The sequence below is a fragment of the Homo sapiens genome, chromosome 18 (assembly GCF_000001405.40).
Source record: "Homo sapiens chromosome 18, GRCh38.p14 Primary Assembly".
Classification (NCBI taxonomy): Eukaryota; Metazoa; Chordata; class Mammalia; order Primates; family Hominidae; genus Homo; species Homo sapiens.
The window spans coordinates 44,887,813-44,909,593 of record NC_000018.10 but is presented as its reverse complement, the minus strand read 5'-3'; the positions used below and the strand labels follow the sequence as shown (position 1 = coordinate 44,909,593).

The 21,781-nt window shown below is 39.2% G+C and overlaps 1 protein-coding gene across 18 annotated transcripts in view, besides 1 other annotated feature; it reads right to left on the bottom strand.

The window, feature by feature from the left end:
* Positions 1-21,781, bottom strand: part of SETBP1 (SET binding protein 1) — a 388,438-nt gene that overhangs the window by 158,917 nt on the left and 207,740 nt on the right. The gene's annotated exons all lie outside the window — the stretch shown is intronic.
* Positions 15,216-15,510: a silencer, noted in NCBI's record as "tiled region #15026; HepG2 Repressive non-DNase unmatched - State 24:Quies". NCBI's record gives its function as "represses a minimal TATA promoter and a strong SV40 promoter by Sharpr-MPRA in HepG2 cells {active_cell/tissue: HepG2}" and the evidence as "EXISTENCE:reporter gene assay evidence [ECO:0000049][PMID:27701403]".

Here is a 21,781-nt window from a genome sequence, read left to right as displayed (position 1 = left end):
GACAGGAGAAGAGAAAAAGCTGTGGTTTGATTGCTTTCTGCTTTAGACTACTCTGAGCCTAGCAGCAGAATTGGTACGATACTCCCTCCTAAGTTCAGAGGACAGACTGAATGAGAAAACCTCAGAGCCTTGGACCTTGGCCAAGATACTCTTCCTTGTAATCTTCATCACTCTGAGTTATATTTGCAGTCAGCCAGGAGAACAAATGACAGCCGAGCAGACACCTACAAACTGGATTACTGGATTCTGGTCCATTCAAATAATGGGGCTTTCCAGCTAGAGGTGGAGTAGCAAGCAGGAACACATTTTCTCCTCGGCCTTGCCCTCCAGATACCAGCCTCTGAAGACAAGCCACTTTCAGTCTAATTCTCTACACACTGCCAGCAGTTAAAGAAGTTCCCCATTTCTCCTTACTCATCCTTCCTTTCAATTGCTCCTTCCTTCTCACCTTTCTGAGAGTAACCACATCCCACCTTAAGGTAGGTGAGGCCATTTTCCTTTACACATCTAGAATTCTTCAATTCTAACACAGGTACCTGGCAGTAGAACCAATCTGGTCCTTGTGTAAGCTGGGAAAGGTCACAGTTTTCAGTGAGTCCAGAGGTGTGATGATGACAATGCTAGGTTAATAAATATGGCAAAAATATATTTTTCTGAAAATGAGGATTAAAATTGGTTGAATTTTATAAAATGAGATAAACAATATAAAATGTGGATTTGAAATTAGTATTTTAAACATTTAAAGCAGAGTTATATTTTGGGGGGCTTCACAAGTACTCTACAGGACATGAATTACCAATCTTTTTAAATACGTGAGAAAATTGAGGCTTAGCAAATCTAGGAGAGCATTAACAAATCTAGGAGAGCCTTTCTACAGATATTGACAAGTTGACCCTAAAATTCATATTGAAATGCCATGGACCTAGAATAGCCAAAACAATCTTGAAAAAGAACAAGGTTGGAGGACTCACACTTCCCAATTTTAAAATTTCTACAAAGCTATTGCAGTCAAGAGTGTGACACTGGCATAAGAAAAGACATATAAATCAATAGAACAGAACTGATTGTCCAGAAATAAACCCTGATACTTATTGCTCATTGACTTTTGACATGGGTGCTAATATAATATAATGGGGAATAAGTCTTTTCAATAAATAAATAGTGCTGGGAAAAGCTGATATACACATGCAAAAGAAGAAAGTGGAGAAGAAGAAGGAGAAGGAGAAAGAAGAAAAGGAGGAGGGGCCAGGTGTGGTGGCTCACACCTGTAATCCCAGCACTTTGGGAGGCCGAGGTGGCGACGTGAGGAGTTCAAGACCAGCCTGGCCAAGTTGGTGAAACCCTGTCTCCACTAAAAATACAAAAATTAGATGAGCATGGTGGTGGGCGCCTGTAATCCCAGCTACTCAAGAGGCTGAGGCAGGAGAATCACTTGAACCCGGGAGGCGGAGGTTGCAGTAAGCTGAGATCACGCCACTGCACTCCAGCCCAGGTGTCAGAGCAAGACTCTGTCTCAAAAAAAAAATAAAAAATAAAAAAGAAGGAGGAGGAGGAAGAAGAAGAGCTGGAGCCCTGCTTTCTACAATACACCAAATAAATTCAAAGTGGATCATAAACCTAAAGGCAAGAGCTAAAGCTATCAATTTCTTAGAAGAAAACATGAGTATATTTTTTGACCTTTGGTTAGGCAAACCCTCCCCAGATATGACACCAAAGCATGAGGAACAAGAAAAATAATAAATTAAACTTAATAAAAAGTTATGCTTCGAAGGTCACTGGCATGAAAGTGAAAAGACACCTCATACAATAAAAGGAAAATTTTGCAAGTCACATATCTGATAAAGACTTCTATCCAGAACACATAAGGAAGCCCTATACAACAATAAAAAGACAACCCAGTTGAAAAATGGGCAAAGATTTGGATAGATATTTCTTTTCCAAAAAATATACATATGGCCAGAAGCACAGGAAAAGATGATCAACATCATCAGCAATTAGGAAAATGCAAATCAAAATCACAATGCGATGCCACTTCATACCTTCTAGGGTGGCCATAATAAAACAGATGGACGACAGAAAATGTTGGTAGGAACACAGAGAAATTTGAATCCTCATATATTATTACTGAGCATATACAATGGTGCAACTGCTTTGGAAAACAGTTTGGAAATTTTTTCAAAAAGTTAAGTGTAAAATTACCACATATCCCAAAATTCTGCTCCTAAGTATATACCCAAGAGAACTGAAAACATATGTTCATGCAAAAACTTCTACATAAATGTTCATAGCAGCATTAGTTACAATAACCAAAAAGTAGAACCAACCAGAATGTCTATCAGCTATTGAATGGATAAACAAAATAGAATATATCCATATGATGGAATATTATTCAGCCATAAAAAGAACAAAGTATCAATACATCCTACAGCATGGCTAAACCTTAAAAATACTATGCTAAGTGAAAGAAGCCAAATAAAAGAAGCCACCTATTGTTTGATTACATCTAGAAAAGGCAAATGTATGGGAACAGAAAGTAAGTTAGTAGTTGCCAGGAACTATAGAAAGAAAATGGGGTGTAACTGCTAATGGGTACAGGATTTATTTTGTGGGGTGATGAAAATGATCTGGAATTAGAAAGTAATACTGATTGCACAAATCTGCAAATATACTAAAAATCACTATTTTGTATCTTTTTAAAAGATGAATATTATGGCATGTAGTCATACCTTTTTAAAGCTGCTAGTAAAAACAAACAAACAAAAAAGGGTTTAAGAGCATTATCAAGGTCATACAATTATGAGCATGACCACCAAAACAAGATTACTTAAACTAGTCTAGTCCTCTTCTTGAGTGCATTTATATCCCCACCTTTGATTTCTTCTGTTGTGTTTTCTTTATTTCTCCTCCCTTGTTGAGTTTTGTCCTTTAAGTCATTTAATATACCTTCCAGAACAAGGGAGGGCTACAAACAAATAAACACATAAAATTAATCTAGTCAAATTGTAGTTCCTGACTCAATTTAGGACAGTTCCTATTACTGAATATTGAATGTTTTTCTTCTTAAAAGAGAGGAGGACATTTTTTTCTGTGCCTTGTCAGTTTCTCTCCTGACGAAAGTGAGCTATGAGGAATGGTTTGTCTAAAATTTTATCTTTGCTGGATATTTTCTCCCTTTGATTCTCACTTGTACTAGCTACACCAAAAGGTACTAAGAACACACAAACACTAAGGACAAACAGAGTAGGTGCTAGTCACTTTAGTGGCTGCTAGGACTACTATCAGAAGAGAAAAAGGATAGCCCCTAGTTTCTTTCCTGGAGCTTTCTACAGAGTTGTCCACAATACCACAATTCTGGTGTTTCAGGCTCCTCTTAATCACTTAAGTTCCAAGAATCAGACCAGTTCTGGACTTAGCTGAAAATGCAAAGATTTCCAGTGTCCCCTGGAGTCTTTACTTGGTATTAGTGAACCTATCCACATAACGCCTGGCTATCTGTAAAATAGGACTGAGGAGTTTTATCATGAAGCGACTGACCTTTCTAATCAGAACTGCTGCTGGGCCATAGGAAATGAAAGGGTGCCCAATAGGTGATTCTGACCGTTGGCTATGAGGACACCTATGGTAAGGGATGAGTGGCTAAAAGGTTGTGGAGGTAAAATCCTGAGCCAAAGCTCATGGTAGCACCAAAACTTTCTGGCATGGAGGCAAGGGGCTGGAAAGAGTTTTCCAAAGGTGGCTTCCTCCAATTATGAGGAAACAACTCCTCTGACAGTTCTCCCAGTCAATTAATTTTTGTGTGACACCTGTTGATGTTAGCTTCGATGCTGAAACCTGCTGTGACACAGTCACTTCTGAAAAGTTTGCCCTGTAATGAGGAGTCCTTGAATCAGAGGTGGAAGCGACCTTAGCTTAGAGGATACTGAATGCTGTGAATGTTGTGGCTTGTTGCAACATCCCCATTTCTGTCATGGCTGCAGCATTCCTGGAAAGTTCACCCAATTCTTCAGTGCCTTTAGTATCAGAACCCTTTTATTTCTCAGGAAATTCTCTTAGCACCCATAACTGAAATCTGGGTACTGGTAATTAATTTACTAATTAATTCCATCCAGACATAGTTACTGAGTATCTAAGATGTGTTAGACATAGTGCTAGGAGCTGTGTATAAAGTAAATAACATATACATATTCCGTATCCTTCCAAATTCTATGGGAGTCACCATTCAAGCTTCTGTAACCCTCCAGAAAAAGTCAGCTTCATCTTCTAAAAGGCTTTTAGCAATCACTGCATATTCCCATATCTTTTTTGCCCAGGACAAACATCTCCAATGCTAGTCATCTTCTCTCCCTGAACATGCTTCTTGGACTCCACTGAACTTGGTCTGTTCTTTTCTGTTCCAGCTTTGTTTTATTGAGGTTCCCTTTAATATGTGGTACCCGGACACCTGCTCCAGCTGGGTTGTACCAGTATGTTATCCTAAAGCTACTCACCTCTATAATTGTGGTCTCTTATACTTTTATTCATGGTCTACATTTTCCTTTGATCTGTTGCATTTTGAGGTCACCTAAAACTTCCTGTCGGAGGTTGCTAGCCCTTCATGAAAAATCCATTTCTTTCTGGAGTATACCACTAGATTACATTTGTCAACTCCCATTTGTTAGATGTGGCCACCAGAGATAGTTTCAGTGGCATGTGAGCAGAAGAGATGTGCCTTTTTTCAACCAAGTCCTAAGTCTTTAGAGGAATGAAAGTGCTCTATCATGCTCCCATTTTCCTATTTTGCCAACTTGATGCAAGAAGATAAGACCTAGCAGATGGCAGAACCATGAGGTAGAAGGAGCCTGGGTCCCTGAGTCACTGCATGGAGAAGTATTGCTTACTAGCCAGAAACATCAGGCCCTGAACCATCACATAGTTGTTAAGTCAGTCTAGCCTACCCTAACCACAGATGACCAGGTCTTTTTAAGATAAGCTGTTATCAAGTCAGATTCATTACAACCTGTGCTCTGTAATTAGCTAGTTTCAATACAATCACAGGATTTTGCATTGCTAAGTCTGTGAAAATTAGTTTCCATTTTGGGAGGTTTCTTTTTTTCTTATTGGTAATACCAACTTTATTGACATCTTTGACTATGAGAAAAACACTATAAAGAGGACATTTAAATCCACTGCATTATACTTACAAGAGCAGGCGAATTCAAAGCAAAATGAACAGAGGTGACATATGCCCATGAAACAAAAAGGAATATGCACTCACTCCCAGGCATAGAGCAACAAATAGCTTTGCATTTGTGTTATGTTTTGTGTGTATGTATTGTCAGAAAACTAGAAATCTTATGCATAAACAAAAAAAGTTAGTCACAGAGGAGTAATTCATTTTGCCCTTATTTTTGAAAAAGCGATAGTGTCATTGATTTTATAGCATGGATCCACACTAAGCCTCATCTCCAAAATAATTGTATTTCCTGTTTGCAAAATTCAATTCTGTTTAATTCATTCATTTATTCATCTATGTGTCCACTCATTGAGCAAATATGTATGAGTTGCCTGCTGTAGACTCAGTACCCTAGAAGATTTTATGTAAGATAATAAGAACTAGAAGATGTAGCTCCTGGCCTAAAAGACCTTTAATTTAATATGGAGACAAGCTATATATAAGGAAAAATAAATAAGATGTCAATTATTAAATAACAACATCAGACTATCAAATGAGCAATACAGATATTAAGTTTCAAAGAGTTCCCAGAAAGGAGATGAATAAATCAGTTCAATTTAACCACTGTGGTATTTACTGAGCACCTACTCTGTGAAATTAGATGAACTGGGTCTGATGACTGTTTGTGGTGAATTTCAATAAGCATTTATTTTGTACCTAGTCTGTGATATACCCTGGGGATGAAGATACTTGCAAGAAGCTCACTGTAGAGAAAAAGAGATTGTGTGATAGGTGTTACAATAATAATGACAGTTGTATTTGTCCAGCTCAAAAGCCCTGACTGCTTTATCAAGTTTTTGAGGGCAAGGACTGTGCCTTCCATTTCTTTGTTTCTTTCTCTCTCATCATCTATGTCATCCCCATAGAGTCATCTTGGACTCTCTGTAGATTGGTTTAAAAGCTGTCTCACAGCGTGGCTGGGCATTGTTCAAAAGAGAGTTTTCTTACTTAGTTGGCTGATAAGCGAAAGGGATCTAAGTTGTCAATAACATCAGATAATGATCTATTTCTCTACCTTTTCCCTGACATTTCAGGGCAAGCAAGGAAGACAAATGCCCTGAACTCCTTGTGTGGGCAGCAGGTGTATGCATGTTGGAGAGGCACTGCCCAGAGTAAGTGGGGAAAAAGAGCTTTATTTTATACCTAAAACCTATTTTTTTATGTGGAATAGAATAGGAACAGGTGGGTGTGTTTAGTGTCAGTAAATGCTTAACTGATGTGGAATCAGTGTTTATTTTGTGTGTGTGTGAAAAATGGTGACGTGGTTAAGTAAGGGAATTAAGAAGTACTCACTGAAGTACGTAGCAGTGGATGGTCATGCTTCCTGCAATCGACCTTTCAAATGGGCCAACAAATTTGATAAATTTGGCAAATTTCAGCTATATTTGAATCTAGGTAGAGGTATATAGATGTTCATTGTATTATTTTTTAAAAAAATATTATATAGTATTTAATAGCCATATTTGGCAATACAACATATATATATATAACATGTAAACTTTATCACATATATATGAAATAACTTTTTATTACCAATTTTTGAGATCCATATTTTCATTTATTGCTGAATTAATGAGGCACTAATAATCCCAATAACATAAGTCAGAATTTATTCTGAAAATACCATAAAGAGGTAAAAAGAGTTACTCAAGTATTCTTGCCTGCTAGAGACAGAATATCAATAGCATCTTTTTTTATAAAAAGACATGAACATTTATAAAATTGCAAAACATATCTTATATATTCACATATAAAATCATGAACCAATAATAATCTGGTATTCTTTCAAATTTTCTGTATCTTTTTACATTTTCATAGTAAACATTGGCTAGAAAATGCCTATCTACTGTGTATGATTTGGGGAGGGCCTGGTTGAATGCCATTCCCAGCCCACCCACCCCTGCCTGGCTCCACCTCTCTCTTGCACTAGCTGATATCTGAAATTCCACCATCAAGAGCCCCAACCCAATTTAGCTGGGAAGTTTTACTCTTATTAAAAGGTACATACATGAAACAATATTAGCAATTAGACTATATAATGTAGAAATAAATATTTAACACAGGTGCTGGTTAAGATAGGTTTGATAGGAGCAAAGGACATGAGAAGACACTATAAATTGTAAGAGACAGAGAGAGAGAGAGAGAGAGAAAGAGAGAGATATATGTAGTGAGTGGGAACAGAGTTCTAGGGCAGTGCTGTTCAAATGATGGCACTATTACACACCTGCACTGTCCAGCCACTAGCCACATCGAACTACTGAGTACTTGAAATGTGGCTAGTGTGACCCAAGAACTGAATTTTAAATTGTACTTAATTTTAATTAATTCAAACTTAAATAGCCACATGTGGCTACTGGCTACTACATGAAAGCATACAGCTCTAGACAGACATGAGCCTAGATAGGCAGAATAACTAGATTCTAAAATAAGTTTGTAACTGGGGAATTAGCACTTTCTATGGGAATTTAAAAGATGTGTTAAAATATATACTGGTGGGAAAGAAATTTAATAAAAAGTAGTGATTCTTAATGGTTTAAGAACCTTAATGGTTAAACATTTCTAAGAATGCTTGTCCCTGGGTAATATTTCTAACTGGTCAAGTCACAATTATTACAGAATGGATCTCCCCAGTATCAAGTGTTTCCCTATAGCTTCTATGTGCAGCATATTTATGCCCTAAGTGTATAATGTCTGGCTGTAATGACAGGAAAGGTTGGATTCTAGGGGTGGAATAAATCAAATCACTAGGATGTCACCAAGCCCACTGTGTGGGTTAAATGCTACAGGCAGAGGGTTGTGCCACCCATTCCCCACCTTCCCTACCTCCCATCATACCCAAAGCTTCAGCCAAAAGGAAGAAAATGCCTCCCACATGGCCACAGGCTGAAGTGCTGCCCCTCGGTGGCCAGAAGTCACTCATATGCAGGCAAAGATGATGTTAAGAATACAAAGAATCACAAAAAGACGGAATTCATTAGATGAATCTGTTTGGCTTCAAAAGCTAGAAGCTCAAAAGTCTATCTCCTGCTGACTTTATTTTTCTTTCAACTTTTCAATGCCATTGCTCCTGCCTGAACAAAGGACAAGAAAGTCCAGTCTCATCCCAGAATAGATAGAAGAGCACAGAATAGACAGAGCTATACACCACTGCAGGACTAGAGATTTTTCCTCATGCTAGGCAGGGTAGGGTAGAAAGAAGAGAACCCATCAAAGCAAGAGTTGGCTAATTCCCCCAACAAAACTAAATTAACAATATTAGCCCAAGTGAGGAAGCTGAATCTTCTCAGGGTGTTAAATTAAACAGTTTGTTCTGTTTTATATATTAAAGACCCATGTGTAGTTTATTGTTTTTGTGGAGTTAAATGAATTCACATGTTAAATTAAAAAGGTCGGGGGAGACAGGAGATTTTATTTGTTTCTAGTATTATTTGGCAGAGTATAAAAGTCCCTGGGCTTAGAATTGGAAGGCTTGGACTCAAATCCACACCCTTCCTGGTACCAGCCAAGTGCCCTTGGGCAATTACTCAACCCATTTCCTTCACTGGTGGTTGTGGCAGCCCTTCTCAAGCAGAGTTGGGAGGCCTTAGTTCCCTTACCCAGCGGTTCTCCAACTAGTGTGTGCTCAGAATCACCGGGAGGGCTGGTTAAAACAGTACTGGGACCAATCCCCAGAGTAATCAGTACAGCCTGAGAATTTGCCTTTCCAACAAGTCCCCAGAGGATGCTGATGCTGCTGGTCTGGGGGGCACACTTTGCAAACTAATGTTCTGTGGCATTCATTGTGAACGAATTTTTCTCCTATGAATCTAGAAAGGTACTAGCTATGTATCATCCTTGGGAGAACAGAGAAAATAAATCACTCAAATAATTTTCTGTAAGACTATTTTCTTATGAAACACAGGCTGGTTATGAGGATTAATGGAGAGAAAAGCAGAAAAGCTTTGAGGTGTGTTCACAACTATAAGGCAGCATAAAGATCACTATAATGATCAACAGTCAATTGATGGATTCTTCTTAAGTTTGTTCTCCAATTTAGTTTGACATTCTTGAATTTCTTTAAGAGCAGTGGTTCCCAAACTTGGGCCATGCATCAGAATCACTGGCAGGATGTGTTAAACACAGATTGCTGGGGCCCAACCCCAGAACCTCTGAGATAGCAAGTCAGGGGGAAGACCTGAGAACCTGCATTTCTAACAGGTACTAATGATGCTGTTGTCCTAAGATCACACTTTGAAACCACTGATCTATTCATCTCAGCTTTCTTTCTCTTTGGCTTTGCTACCTTCTAGTCCAGGGGTTGGCAAATTGTATCACCTGTTTTTTAAATAAAGTTTTATTGCAACACAGATGCACCCATTCATTATTGCATGATCTATGACTGCTTTCAAGCTACAGTGGCAGGGTTGTGTCATTGCAACAGCAACTGTATGGCTTGCAAAGCCTAAAATATTTACTGTTCAGCCTATTATAGAAAAAGTTGGCCAATTTCAGCTCTAGTCTTTCTCCTTTCCTTTAATCATAATATTTATTAAATATCTTATACTTAAAAAGCATTTAATATATATTTTTGTATTTTGTCATCACAATCATATAAATGAATTTTGGGTCTCTTCTACCTTAGAGGGATGAGTAATTTGTCCAAGGGCACATAGAATCTGAGTCAGGACCAGCTACATAGTTTGTGGAGATCAATGCATAATAAAGTTGTGAGGCCCCTTGTTCAAAGATTAAGAATTTCAGATAGCAAAAACCAAGCACTAAACCAAGTGTGAGATCTTCTAAGTGTGGGCCCTTCATTACTGCCAGCGTGGAATGCCCATGAAGCCAGTCCTGAGCTGAGTGGTGAGTCCAGTCCTGAGCTGTATGGTCCCAAGGCTTGGAGCTCTCTCCTACATGGCTGACCATACAGCATGGCCAACATGCACTGGCCTGAGGAACTATTGCAGTTTTATTTTGGAGACAGAATTGCCTTCCTTTCTTGTTAAATCACCAGGACCCCTTGCAATCCCCGGTTATGATCTCCTTTGGGGAGGAATGCCTCTCTCTATTCCCCAAAAAAGTTTGGTGTCTGGAAATTACTCGACAAATGTGACTATTTATTTAAAAATTTACTTCCTTTGTTCTAGAGAATATTTAGAGAATATCATTTGTTCTAGAGAATATTTAAAATGGCTTTTCAACACATCATTGGTGGAGTAGTGGATATTAATAAAGGCAAAAGCATAGAAAGACATTGAAGGAATTATTGTTTTAACTCTACAAAAGGAACAAAAAACGAGCAATAAAAACATTATACCTTATCTCACTGTCACTTAAAAATTCATGGAGGACCCCAGACTAGAACCCAGTATCTCCCGATATGAGACCCAGGGCTGTTTTCCAAACTTAGCAGAGAGTATTTCCATTTGGGCAATCCCTCAGTGTTGAGGTATAAGTGACAGCAGTTAAAAAACACATGGAAAGCCAAGCCAGAGATCATTTTAAAGAATGCAGCATCTCATGTTATTTGATCACTATATTCTCTGAGCATTTAATCCTCTCAAATATTTTACAATCACTTCCTTTAATTACAGAGAAAACACATTGGAGTGATGTGGGTGCTCGGGTGTGTCCCCTCCTGTTTCCTTCTTTCTGTTTAATCAAGAATTTGAATCACCTTTCAGCTTCCTAATCCTCTAATCCTAAAAGGAATTTACTCTGCTCCAAACTCTGCTTGGCAAGACTGTACAGTAGAACTCGAAGCCCTTTCATGAAGACTGGGAGAAGGGAGAGAAAATCCTGGAGGCAGCCTTCCTGGCTTCCTTCCCCAAACTCAGGAAATTGGGGCCCCTTGAGAGAATTGTCTTCCAGCTAGCATTTGAAAATACACATCTGGAAGCCCTCCATCAGATTTACCTGCAGGGCTTATTAAAATTCTAACTTTCTAGGTGGCTTCCATTCTAGCCACGCTAAATTAGAAGTTGGAGACAGAAAATTTGTCTATCCATCTATATCTCTCTATCTATATTTAAATTTTCCCAAGTGATTCTCCTATGTACCATAAATTGAGACGTGGCTAGCCATTCACATCCTCAATGTACATTCACTGTATAAATATATTACTTCCAGGAAACCCATTGGTGCTTAATAGTGTAACTCAATTTAAAGGTCATGAGTTATAAATATATAGAATCAAGTAGTGGTGTGGCTAAAAAGACCTTTGATCAATATGGGTCACTGCTGTGGGATCCAGAAAGAATGTGGAGGAACAATGAAACAGGCATCTCTCTATGGAAAGGTATGCTGAGTTACAAGCAAAGAGCCCTGAGTGAGTTTAGAGTCAGGGTTTCCATTCCTCAGAAGTCTGGGCACTATCACAACAATTACCATACACACCTACCTTTTTAGGACAGCTGATACTTCCAGTATTCTGATTTACTGTCTCTACTGAACACTCTCATATACTGGAAGTCTCAATACTTCAGTAACCAAGGTTTACCAACTCAACACTCCCAGAAGTGCACTAAAAATCCTCTATCACACCACAGGTCTGTATTTCTGGCTTGATGAATGTGGTCACCATAACCAAGAGAACAGCCCAAAGCTCAGATTGTCTTCCCCCATTAGCACTAGAGCTGTCTTCCTCCATCTAAAAAGATGGCCTCGTTTTGCCCCTGCACAGCTGCTCTTGTTCATATGCTGCCAGTTACACGGCTGCTCACTCTTTTCTATTTACCTATTCTCTGAGAGCTGGAACAGCATTTCCTAATTTTCTCTCCTCTCACAGACGCACCTGCAGTGTTTCCCACACAACTCAATTAATGCTATAAACTGGTAAAAGATGATGGCCCCTGCTTGATTCGAGGAACTCATCAGTAAAATGAGCCCGATGTGTCCCAGACCACATGCTGGGAGGAATACGAATTTGTAACACACCTTCTCATCAGCCCGGGTCGCTAAATAGGGCAGACTTTATTTTTTTTTTGCAGAGCCTCCATATGTTCGACTCACATGGATCAATAGAAGCACCATATTGTCTTCACAAAAGCTTCAGATCCTCACCCTTTCTAATATACAGAAGGTCCAGATTGTTTTTTCTCAAACATAGGGATGCCCCGAAGCTTCAGCTGACAGCGTGGGATAGGGAAGCAGCCCAAGTGAGTTATGTGGCCACAGACTGTGGGCCACACCTCACCAATTTGGGTTTCAAATGGCCCCCAAAGGACCCCGCAGAACTTAAAAGCAGAGAGATTCAGCAACTCTGGAGCGCAAATGCAATCTTAACCTCTATCGTGCTTTTCTGCAACAAGGCAGAAAATCAAAAGTGAGGAGTGCACAGCTGCCCCACCAGAAGCGAAGCAAAGTCTCAACAGGAGTGAGTCAATACACTCTGGGCGACAGCTGGGTAAACATTTCCGATCAACCCTTGCAGTTTTGATAGAACCCTGTGTGTGTGTGTGATGGTACAGTTGGGTGGATTGATGGCTGCTTAAATATCTGTAATCAAAGAGTACAGAGTAAGAAGGACATTGACAAACTGGAGAAGATAAACAGAAACACAAATAATGGTGGTTATCAAAGAAGAAAGATATCATAGGAGGAAAAATGAGGATATTTAGCCTGAAGAGTCAAAATTTGGATGTAGGGCTGGGTGTGGTGGCTCACACCTGTAATCCCAGCACTTTGGGAGGCCGAGATCATCCTGACCAACGTGGTGAAACCCCATCTCTACTAAAAATACAAAAATTACTTGGATGTGGTGGTGTGCACCTGTAGTCCCAGCTACTCAGGAGGCTGAGGCAGAATTGCTTGAACCCAGGAGGCAGAGGTTGTAGTGAGCCGAGATGGCACCACTGCACTCCAGCCGGAAAAAATCCAACAAACAAAACAAAACAAAAAAACTTGGATGTAGAGTGGGGAGGGTCAGGGATGATGTCTGTCTTCAAATACATCAAGGGCCAAGGCACAGAAGAATAATTAGACTTGTACAATATGCATAATTCCAGGAAGAGACTAATGATGAAAGTAGCTGGGAAATAGATTTCCGCAAAATATAAAATGTTTTCTGAAAATCAAAAATGTTCAGAAATAGAGAAGCTGCTGGAAATTTAAGACGAGACAGAATGTCCTTTTGTCAGAGAGTCCTTTATGATATGGGAAGTTAGAACAGTGGACCTCCAAGCCACTTTCCAATACCAATTCAAAGATTGTGTGCTGAGACACTGCCCCTAATCATCTCCCAATACCACCCCTTTCAGCCCACCTGTCAGGGGTAGGCAATGAAGTAACTGACAACCGGCAAAGTTAAGAGGATCAAATGTTACAGGTATGCAATACCCAGGAAGCGCTGCTGTGGCTCTAGATTCCTCTCCAACATTTTCACTGAGGGAGTGATCATGCTCCTATCAGGGAGTGTGTGTAAGGAGGGTGGGGTGAGCATGCGGGCATGGGGAAATGATTTTTACTTTGCCATTTCACTGTTACATCAAATCCCCTTTAAGAAGGTTTTCAGATTTGCCTCTCGATGTTAATAAATAGCTCATAATGCAAAAAAAGTGTCATTTTTTTTCTTTGGTTGAAATAAATAAAACAAAATATTTAATTTTTCCTGAAGAGAAGTCATTTAGTTCTCAAATTGCATGCTAAACCCAACATTGTTAAGTTAATAAGTCATCCTAAAATTCTGAGCCACCTGTCCAGTGGGAAGAAAAGATAGTAACTTATGAGATTACATCCTAACACCATTGCCACCTTCCCACTGGGAGGCAGCATGGGGTAATGGAAAGAGCACTTCTCTGTGAGTCCAACTTCCTGCTCCAACAACTTGCTATGGTACGTTCAGCAGCCATTTCACTTCTGCTGTCAAAGGTCACTGCCATTTTCTAACTCAACCATAATCACTCAACAGAGAAGACTGAATACCACTTGACTACACAATTATATTTGAGGACACACACTCAGGGAAAATGGGTTCAAAATGCATAGTACTCTCTACAGCTCTTAGATTTTCCCAATTCTCAATAACTTGAGTATTTGATGTGAACTCATGGTTTTTCAAACCCACCCTTCCTTCCTTCCTTCCTTCACTCCCTCTCTCCCCCCTTCCTCCCTCCCTCCTTCCCTCCCCCTCCCTCCCCCCTTCCTTCCTCCCTCCCTCCCCCTCCCTTCCTCTCTCCCTCCCCCTCCCTTTCTTCCCTCCCCTCCCCTCCCCTCCCATCCCCTCCCCTCCTCTTCCCTTCCCTTCCCTCTTCTCCTTTCTTTCTCTGCTTTCATTTGCTTTTTCTTTTCTGAGACAGGATTTTCCTCTGTTGCCCAGGCTGGAGTGCAGTGGCATGATCATACCTCACTGCAACCTTGAATTCCTGGGCTCAAGTGATCCTCCCACCTCAGCCTCCCTAGTAGCTGGGACTACAGGCACATGTGACTGGCTACTTTTTTTTTTTTTTAAGTTTTGCAGAGATAGGGTCTCGCTATGTTGCTCAGGCTGCTTTTGAACTCCTGGCCTTGAGCAATCCTCCTGAGTCAGCCTCCCAAAGCAGCCACGGTGCCCAGCCTCAATTAAGTTTTCAACAGTGAATTGGACTTAAATTGTCTTCTGTTTACAATGGCTGAAATCCATTTAAATTCTCTTGGTGGTCCTTTGTTGATTCCTGGAGATTTTTGTACTGTACTTGCCTCATTCCTACACATACTTTAATTGAATAAAATGGGAGAATGCATTTTCCCAAGTGCCTAAAGTGACTGTGGAAATAACCAGGGAGAGTTACTATTTTCAGTCTACAACATATCATATTCAGATACATATCATTGTGGACATAATGAATGGGAATTCTATATACCTATAATTAGTCAACATAATTTTCTTTTCCTCCTTATATAATGATTTTTATCTGAGCACCAAGGGGGTCCTTTAACATTCAAATTAAACTTCATGACAATCCAACAAGCCCAATATTACTACCTCAATTAAGGACATTGCTACATAGAAGGGTGAAAAAAAAAATGATCCAAGTAAGATGATCAGGAATACACATCCCTGTTTACTAGGGAGGCAAACTGCAAGTCTCCTTTGGGAGGAGCATATAAAACAAATTTATATTTACAATCGCTTCCTGCACTGCTGGCTAAATTGAAGTCATTTTGCCAAGATTCACTCAGAAAAAGAGAGTACCATTTCCTGCATTCTTTGGCTGGTTCTGGCGAACAACTTGGAGAGAGGGGAAGTGACCTGCTTGAGGTGATGAGTTAGGAATCTATGAGGCTGCTGAATGGAAACTCAAATGAAATTGGAATAGCTTTTTGTTTTTTATTTCAGCCCTCAGTCATCTCTTTTCACTCTAAGGTTCTTTGCTTGAACTTTCTGCTTAGTTGCAAGTTGTGCTCTTACTGGCTGCAGATCAAGAGTGGAGTTTTAAAACTAAAGTGTCCCCTCCAATCCCTGTTTAACCTTAGCATAAAGAAATGGACAAAGTTTGGTATATACAATAGATAGGCAGCAACTCTCAAACTGTTTTGACCGTATGAGAGAGATAAGAGATACACTTTTCATCATATTCTGTACACACACACACAAATAGGTATTTTTGTGTGCATTTTACACATGTTAAAATAAGAGTTTAAAGAAACAAAATTTGCACTTACTCTGTATGATGTCTTTTGATATTTCTCTCTCTCCCTCCCTCTTTTCTTTTTTCCTTTCTCTTGCTTATATTGACCCCCTAAATTGAATTCATAATGGGTCATGAATCTCAGTTTGTATAAAAGCAAAACAAAACAGCTTATATAAAGTTCAAAAATGAAAGACTTGTTACCACTTCAGGAAGGCCACACCGGGGTGAGGAGAGAACATTGATCTATCAGCCAGGAGACCGAGGTTCAATTCCTGTTGACTACTAACTATGTGCACCAGCTAGAAAGCAGGGTGAAGGGTATGGGCTGAAGAGCCTGTGTTTGCATCTCACCTCTCTCAGTTACAAATTGTGTGAATTTAAGCAAGTTACCAAACATCTCCACGCTTCCATTTGCACATCTTTCAAATGGAGCATTCATAGAACCTACCCCCAAGGGTTATTATGAGCATTTAGTGAGTTATTGTAGGAAAATTACTCAGAACAGTTCTAATGACTGGCCTTTAGTCAGTGGCCAGTAAATGTTATCTAGTACTACTTTAAATTGAGGTGACAGGATCTGTTCTAACCCTTGAAACTTTTCATGTAGGTTGCTCGTTCTTAAGAAGATGAGAAGGAATTAAATGAGGAGAAATGAGTCACAGTTGTTATGGAAAAGGGACTGTTAATGTCATTTGACCACAAGCTTTTTTTGAGCTAACAATGGTTGCTAAAATAGTCATCATAATCCTAGATGGCAGTAATTGAAATAAAAAATCTCAATAGAGGCTGCTAACAATCACCCTATATTGGTCAGGAAACATTTAATATACTGTTATTAAAGTCATGGAGCTACCAGAAGATTTGATTGCTTAGGGTCATGGAGATGCCAGAAATCTATTCTAGGAGAAGGTGAACAGAGCTAGGAGGAGATGAAGACCATATTAATAAAGGCTTGGTTGAGAAAATGAGAGGTGTTTAGCTTGGAGATGTGAAGATTTAAGGGAGTTCTGATAACTGCTTTCAAATGGTTGAAGTTATTGTGTGGATGAGGAAGAAAAATTATTATGTAGCAGTTACAATAAAACCAGTAGATAGAAGTTTCAATAAAATATATTTGAACTCTATACACAGAATAATTTCCAAACAATAAAAGCTGTCCAGCCACAAAATACATTACCTGGCCAACAGAAAGCTCTCCATCACTGGAAACTTTCAAGCAGAGACAAGATGACCTACTAGGTATGCCTAACTGATTTTTTGAATTGGTAACAAGATCAAATCACAACCTATTTTAGAGCTAAAATTCAACACAATAGCACAGGTAAATGGGCTTTAAAAGGCCTAAGCCATGTACATATGCAGGTGACATTATGTCAATGCTGTCTGCACCTGTCTGCACCACCTGGAGTGTCTGTTTAAGTCCTCAAAAACACATTTTGCTTCCCATCCTTAATTCCCATATAAGGCCATTCTCTAAGTTCTATTGCAAAACTTGGGCAGCCATGTAGCTCTCCACCAACGAAACAGCTAGGCCTTTGTGCAACTTCTCATCCATAGTGGAGAGCCAGTGGAATTTTATTTTTGTTTTGCTTACTTCTCTTTCAGCCCTTTAATAGCAAACAAACAATTTGGAGATAATTTAGGCTCCAAATAAACTCCTCACTCCTCCTCTCATGCCCAAAAACTGTCAAAATGTTTGAATGTAAAAGGATTATTCAGGATTCATTTTATAAGACATTTGAGCTTAATTTCTGTTGTTTCTTCTCAAAGTAGAGCACTTCTCCTCCCCTCAACTTTTGAGTCTGGGTTTCTCATCTCGTAGGTGGGTTTGATGAATATATCTGTTGATCATGTGCAAACTCCTTTGAGAAAATAAAAAGCAATGTTCAAACGTTCAAAAATAATGTCTTTTACAGTTCCTATTTCAAGACATCTATGACAAAAATCTCTGTGAAAGACATGTGACCTAAAGAGGAAAAAAATGCCTCCATTATACAGAAACTAAAATGGTTTGGCATTTGTGAAGCAGGACTCTGAATTGGTCAGATAAAGACGGAAAGGAACAGTAGAAGACTAAGCAATAACCCAGGAAATCTGAAAGGTATTTACAGCCAGTTGAGATCATGCAGGCCTCAAATACATTTTTTTTTCAGGAATAGAACATTTGCAGCCTGAGTTAACAGCATAGTTACAGTAGTCTTGGCTCACTTTTGTGGAACAGACTCACCCATGATGACTTTAGAAGCTGTGGCTGGTGCAAAGCCCCATTATAAGACTTTCACTCATGCCAAGGTTGGCTTATAATGAGGCCCAATATAATCCACCTCTGTCCTATATTCAGAGGTAAAATCTAAGCACTGCAGTGCCTTACAAGCAATAGGTACTTAATAATGTTTGCTGACTGAATGTGTATAATAAAATGTAGATCAAACCTAGATGATCAAATATATGAGTGCTTCTGTTTCATTTCATTTTGTATTGATGTGCCCCTCTGATATGGTTTGGCTGTGTCCCCACCCAAATCTCATTTTGAATTCTCACGTGTTGTGGGAGGGACCTGGTGGGAGGTAATTGAATCATGGAGGCAGGCCTTTCTCATGCTGGTGTTGTGATAGTAATAAGTCTTACAAGATCTGATGGTTCTATTAGGGAGAGTTTCTCTGCACAAGCTATCTCTCTTTATCTGCTGCTATCCATGTAAGATGTGACTTGCTCCTTCTGCCATAATTGTGAGGCCTCCTCAGCCACGTGGAACTGTAAATCCATTAAAACTTTCTTTCTTTTGTATATTGCCCAGTCTTCAGTATGTCTTTATCAGTAGAATGGAAACAGACTAATACCCCTTCCTTGTCAAATGTTTTAGCATTTAGTGTTTGCCAAGAACCCTAGACTTGGAATCAGAAGATCCATGTAAATTCCAATCCAGTTTGGTCACTTACTAACACTGTGAGCTTGGGCAATTCATTTAATCTCTCCATCCTCAGTTCCTTAGAGTTAAAAAACTTGAATGACAGTAACTGCCTTCATGAGGTTGCAGGTTTTATTCAAAAATAAAATGCAAAAATCATTAGGAAATTACTTTTTAAGCAACAAAGCACTCTCAAGTGTAAGACTAGGTGAAAAAATTATAGTCCACAGGTCACCTTCTTATTTTCCTTCTTCCAGGTGTAGGCTGAGGCTATTTTGAGGGATCCTCAAAATTAAATAGAGGAAATGGGCATATTTGTTTTAATAATAACTTGATGATATATCGTGTCCATAGGATCTATACAAACATCTCCAAATACTCCATCTTTGACCTCTAAAAAGATTCCCATGGAAGAGCCTTCCCCATCTGCTAGAGTTTCCTAATCAGGTGAAGAGAAATAGGACAATCTCTCAGATGGAGAAAAACCCAGGACACAAAAGAATCTACTGTTATACAGAACTAACAGCCCCTTTATGTTTCACAATGTCGTTCTTGTCCTGCTTTTCACATAAAGATTTGGCGATACTGCAGTAAGAAAACATAAAACAAAACATCCTTGGGGGTGGGGTGAGGGGTTTGAGGAGATGCTGGTCAAAGAGTTCAAAGTTTCACTTAGGAGGAATAAATTCAGGAAACCTATTTTACAACATAGTGACTATAGTTAATAACAAGGCATGGTATCCTTGAAACTTGCAAGGTATTGTATACCTGGAAATTGAAAATAGAATTTAAATATTCTCATCACAAAAAAATGAAAAATGTGTTAGGTGATGCAGATGTTAATTAGCTTGATTCAGCCTTACCATGGATGCATATATCAAAACATCATGTCGTACATCATAAATACGTACAATTTTAATTTGTTAATTAAGTAAACAAGTAAACAAAAATGCTGACTGAATTTAAAAATCCTTCATTAAATGTTGGGAAAATATACTATCCAATAAAAGGGAGAACATTTTTAGAGAAATAGGGATTGCAGAAGAATTTCTATTGGCCAATTATTTGTAAAAGTTGTTCACTGGGGCTTCCCCACATAGACGGCAAGGGTTACCAACATTCAAATTTATCTGTTCTTTCTATGTATATATACACATATATCTAAGAAAACTGTCTTGGGTTAATTGTATATCAATAGGCCTCATCTCAATAGTTTAATTTAACTATCTGTTAAGACTTCTGCAGCAGAATGCAACAATTGTGGACCTCAGTGTCAACACTTTCAGGTGGAGAGTCAGTGCAACTCACACCTAGAAGACACCATCACCACTCCCTTAGCAACGCTCTGAGCTCCCTAGAACAGAAGATGACTTGAGCATCCAAAGACAGTATTTCTTATGACTCTAGTCTACACTCCCCACATGACTGGGGCCAAACTGAACTCTGCAGGGAATCAAAACAGTCTAAGCTAACTGATCCAAGTCTTTTAGTTGTTTTTGGTTCAAAGAACAGGATTTAGTAGGGATGATAAATAAGGCTCTGATGGTAGCTCTCAAACTTTTAGAGGAAGAGTGGGCAACTTAGTACAAAGATAACTAACTTCCTCTTTTGATTCTTCTCCTGGTTTGGCAAGAAAAATGAAATGTTTTTAAAGCCACGGAGGTTTATGGTTGTCCCTGGAGATTAATGAAGGAATCAGAGAAATACTAAAAGCATTAGCAAAATTATTTATCTCTGTTTTGAAATGCTGAAGAAAAAGAAACCATGGAGGGGACTGACTCTACAAAAATAGGAAGAAAAACAAAATGTTTGCTAGGAAATATATTCAACTTTCAAGTAAATTAAGGCCTACAAGCAAATAAAATTTATTTGCTGCTATTTTTCCAGAATAAAGCAGAATGAGAGAGAAGCTTCCACTTGCTGGAGTGGTCAGGTATGTTGTTATTTGATACTACACTTTACATGTTTGGGAAAAAATAGGTAGGTACCATTTCAAACATAAATCAAGACAACTCTCTAGGCCTCAAGAAGGTATTAAAACTAAAGCAGTCAGCTGACTTGACTCCCAAAAAAGACTGGTTGTCAACTTTTTCTAGGCCCTCTTTGCACTTTTTCTTGCACCTCCAATTTACTAGCAATCAGTTCCCATTCTCTAAACCCCTGGGTAAGCTGTCAGTAGCATCAATGTTATTAATCTCTGTGGCCATGTCAATGACAGTCACTGCTCATATAAGGCCACACAGAGGATTCACATAATAGAGAGGTATTAGGCCTTAGTAGACAAGGTAAGTCTGGGGAAATGAACAGGCTGATTGTGACAGTTTTAATAAAAGCACAAAGCTTTCTTATCTGCTACATTTGCTTTGCACCAAATGGGAAGTGCATCCTTTTGGTACCAATTCAATTCATAAGGCTTGAGGGAAGATAAATCTTTAACTAAAGAAATGAGTGAACAGCATCAGCTTTGAAATACTACTTCTTGGGATCCTGAAAAAAGGCTCCTCCAAGCACTGACCTGAGCAAAACCCCTGGCTGTGTGTGCTCTAAAAGTGGTCTGTAAGTGACATTTTACTAGATGCTAAGAAGGGACCTTCAGGCAGGAGGAACTAACTAACTCACAAGGGATAAATTCCTTGGTTTGAGTTTTATTAGCTCTATTTCTCACCAATTGAGGTGCATGGCTTTAGGCTCAACTTATCCAAGTTGACTCACTGGGAACCTGGTGTAGAAATTGATCACCCCTCCTGGCAGAGACCAGGACCAGCACCCTGAAATACTCCATCCAGGCAGGAACTTGGAATGCCTGTCATCTGGGATGGAGATTGACTGCTCTTCTAATGTTTCAGTTCCTTATTTGATCCCAGAAAATGATTTTCTTGGTTGTCCAGATATTTTTTAGCTTGGCTCTACTGTCTTGCTCCCCAGTGTTCTCTCTGCCTCCCACTGAGCCCTCGTATTTTGGAATCTGGGTTCCAGGTATTTACAATTGGATAACCTGCTGTTGCTCCTTGACATGATCTTTGTTTGACCACCTCTGCCTAGGCTTTTGACTCCTTCTGGCCTTCCCCTGCT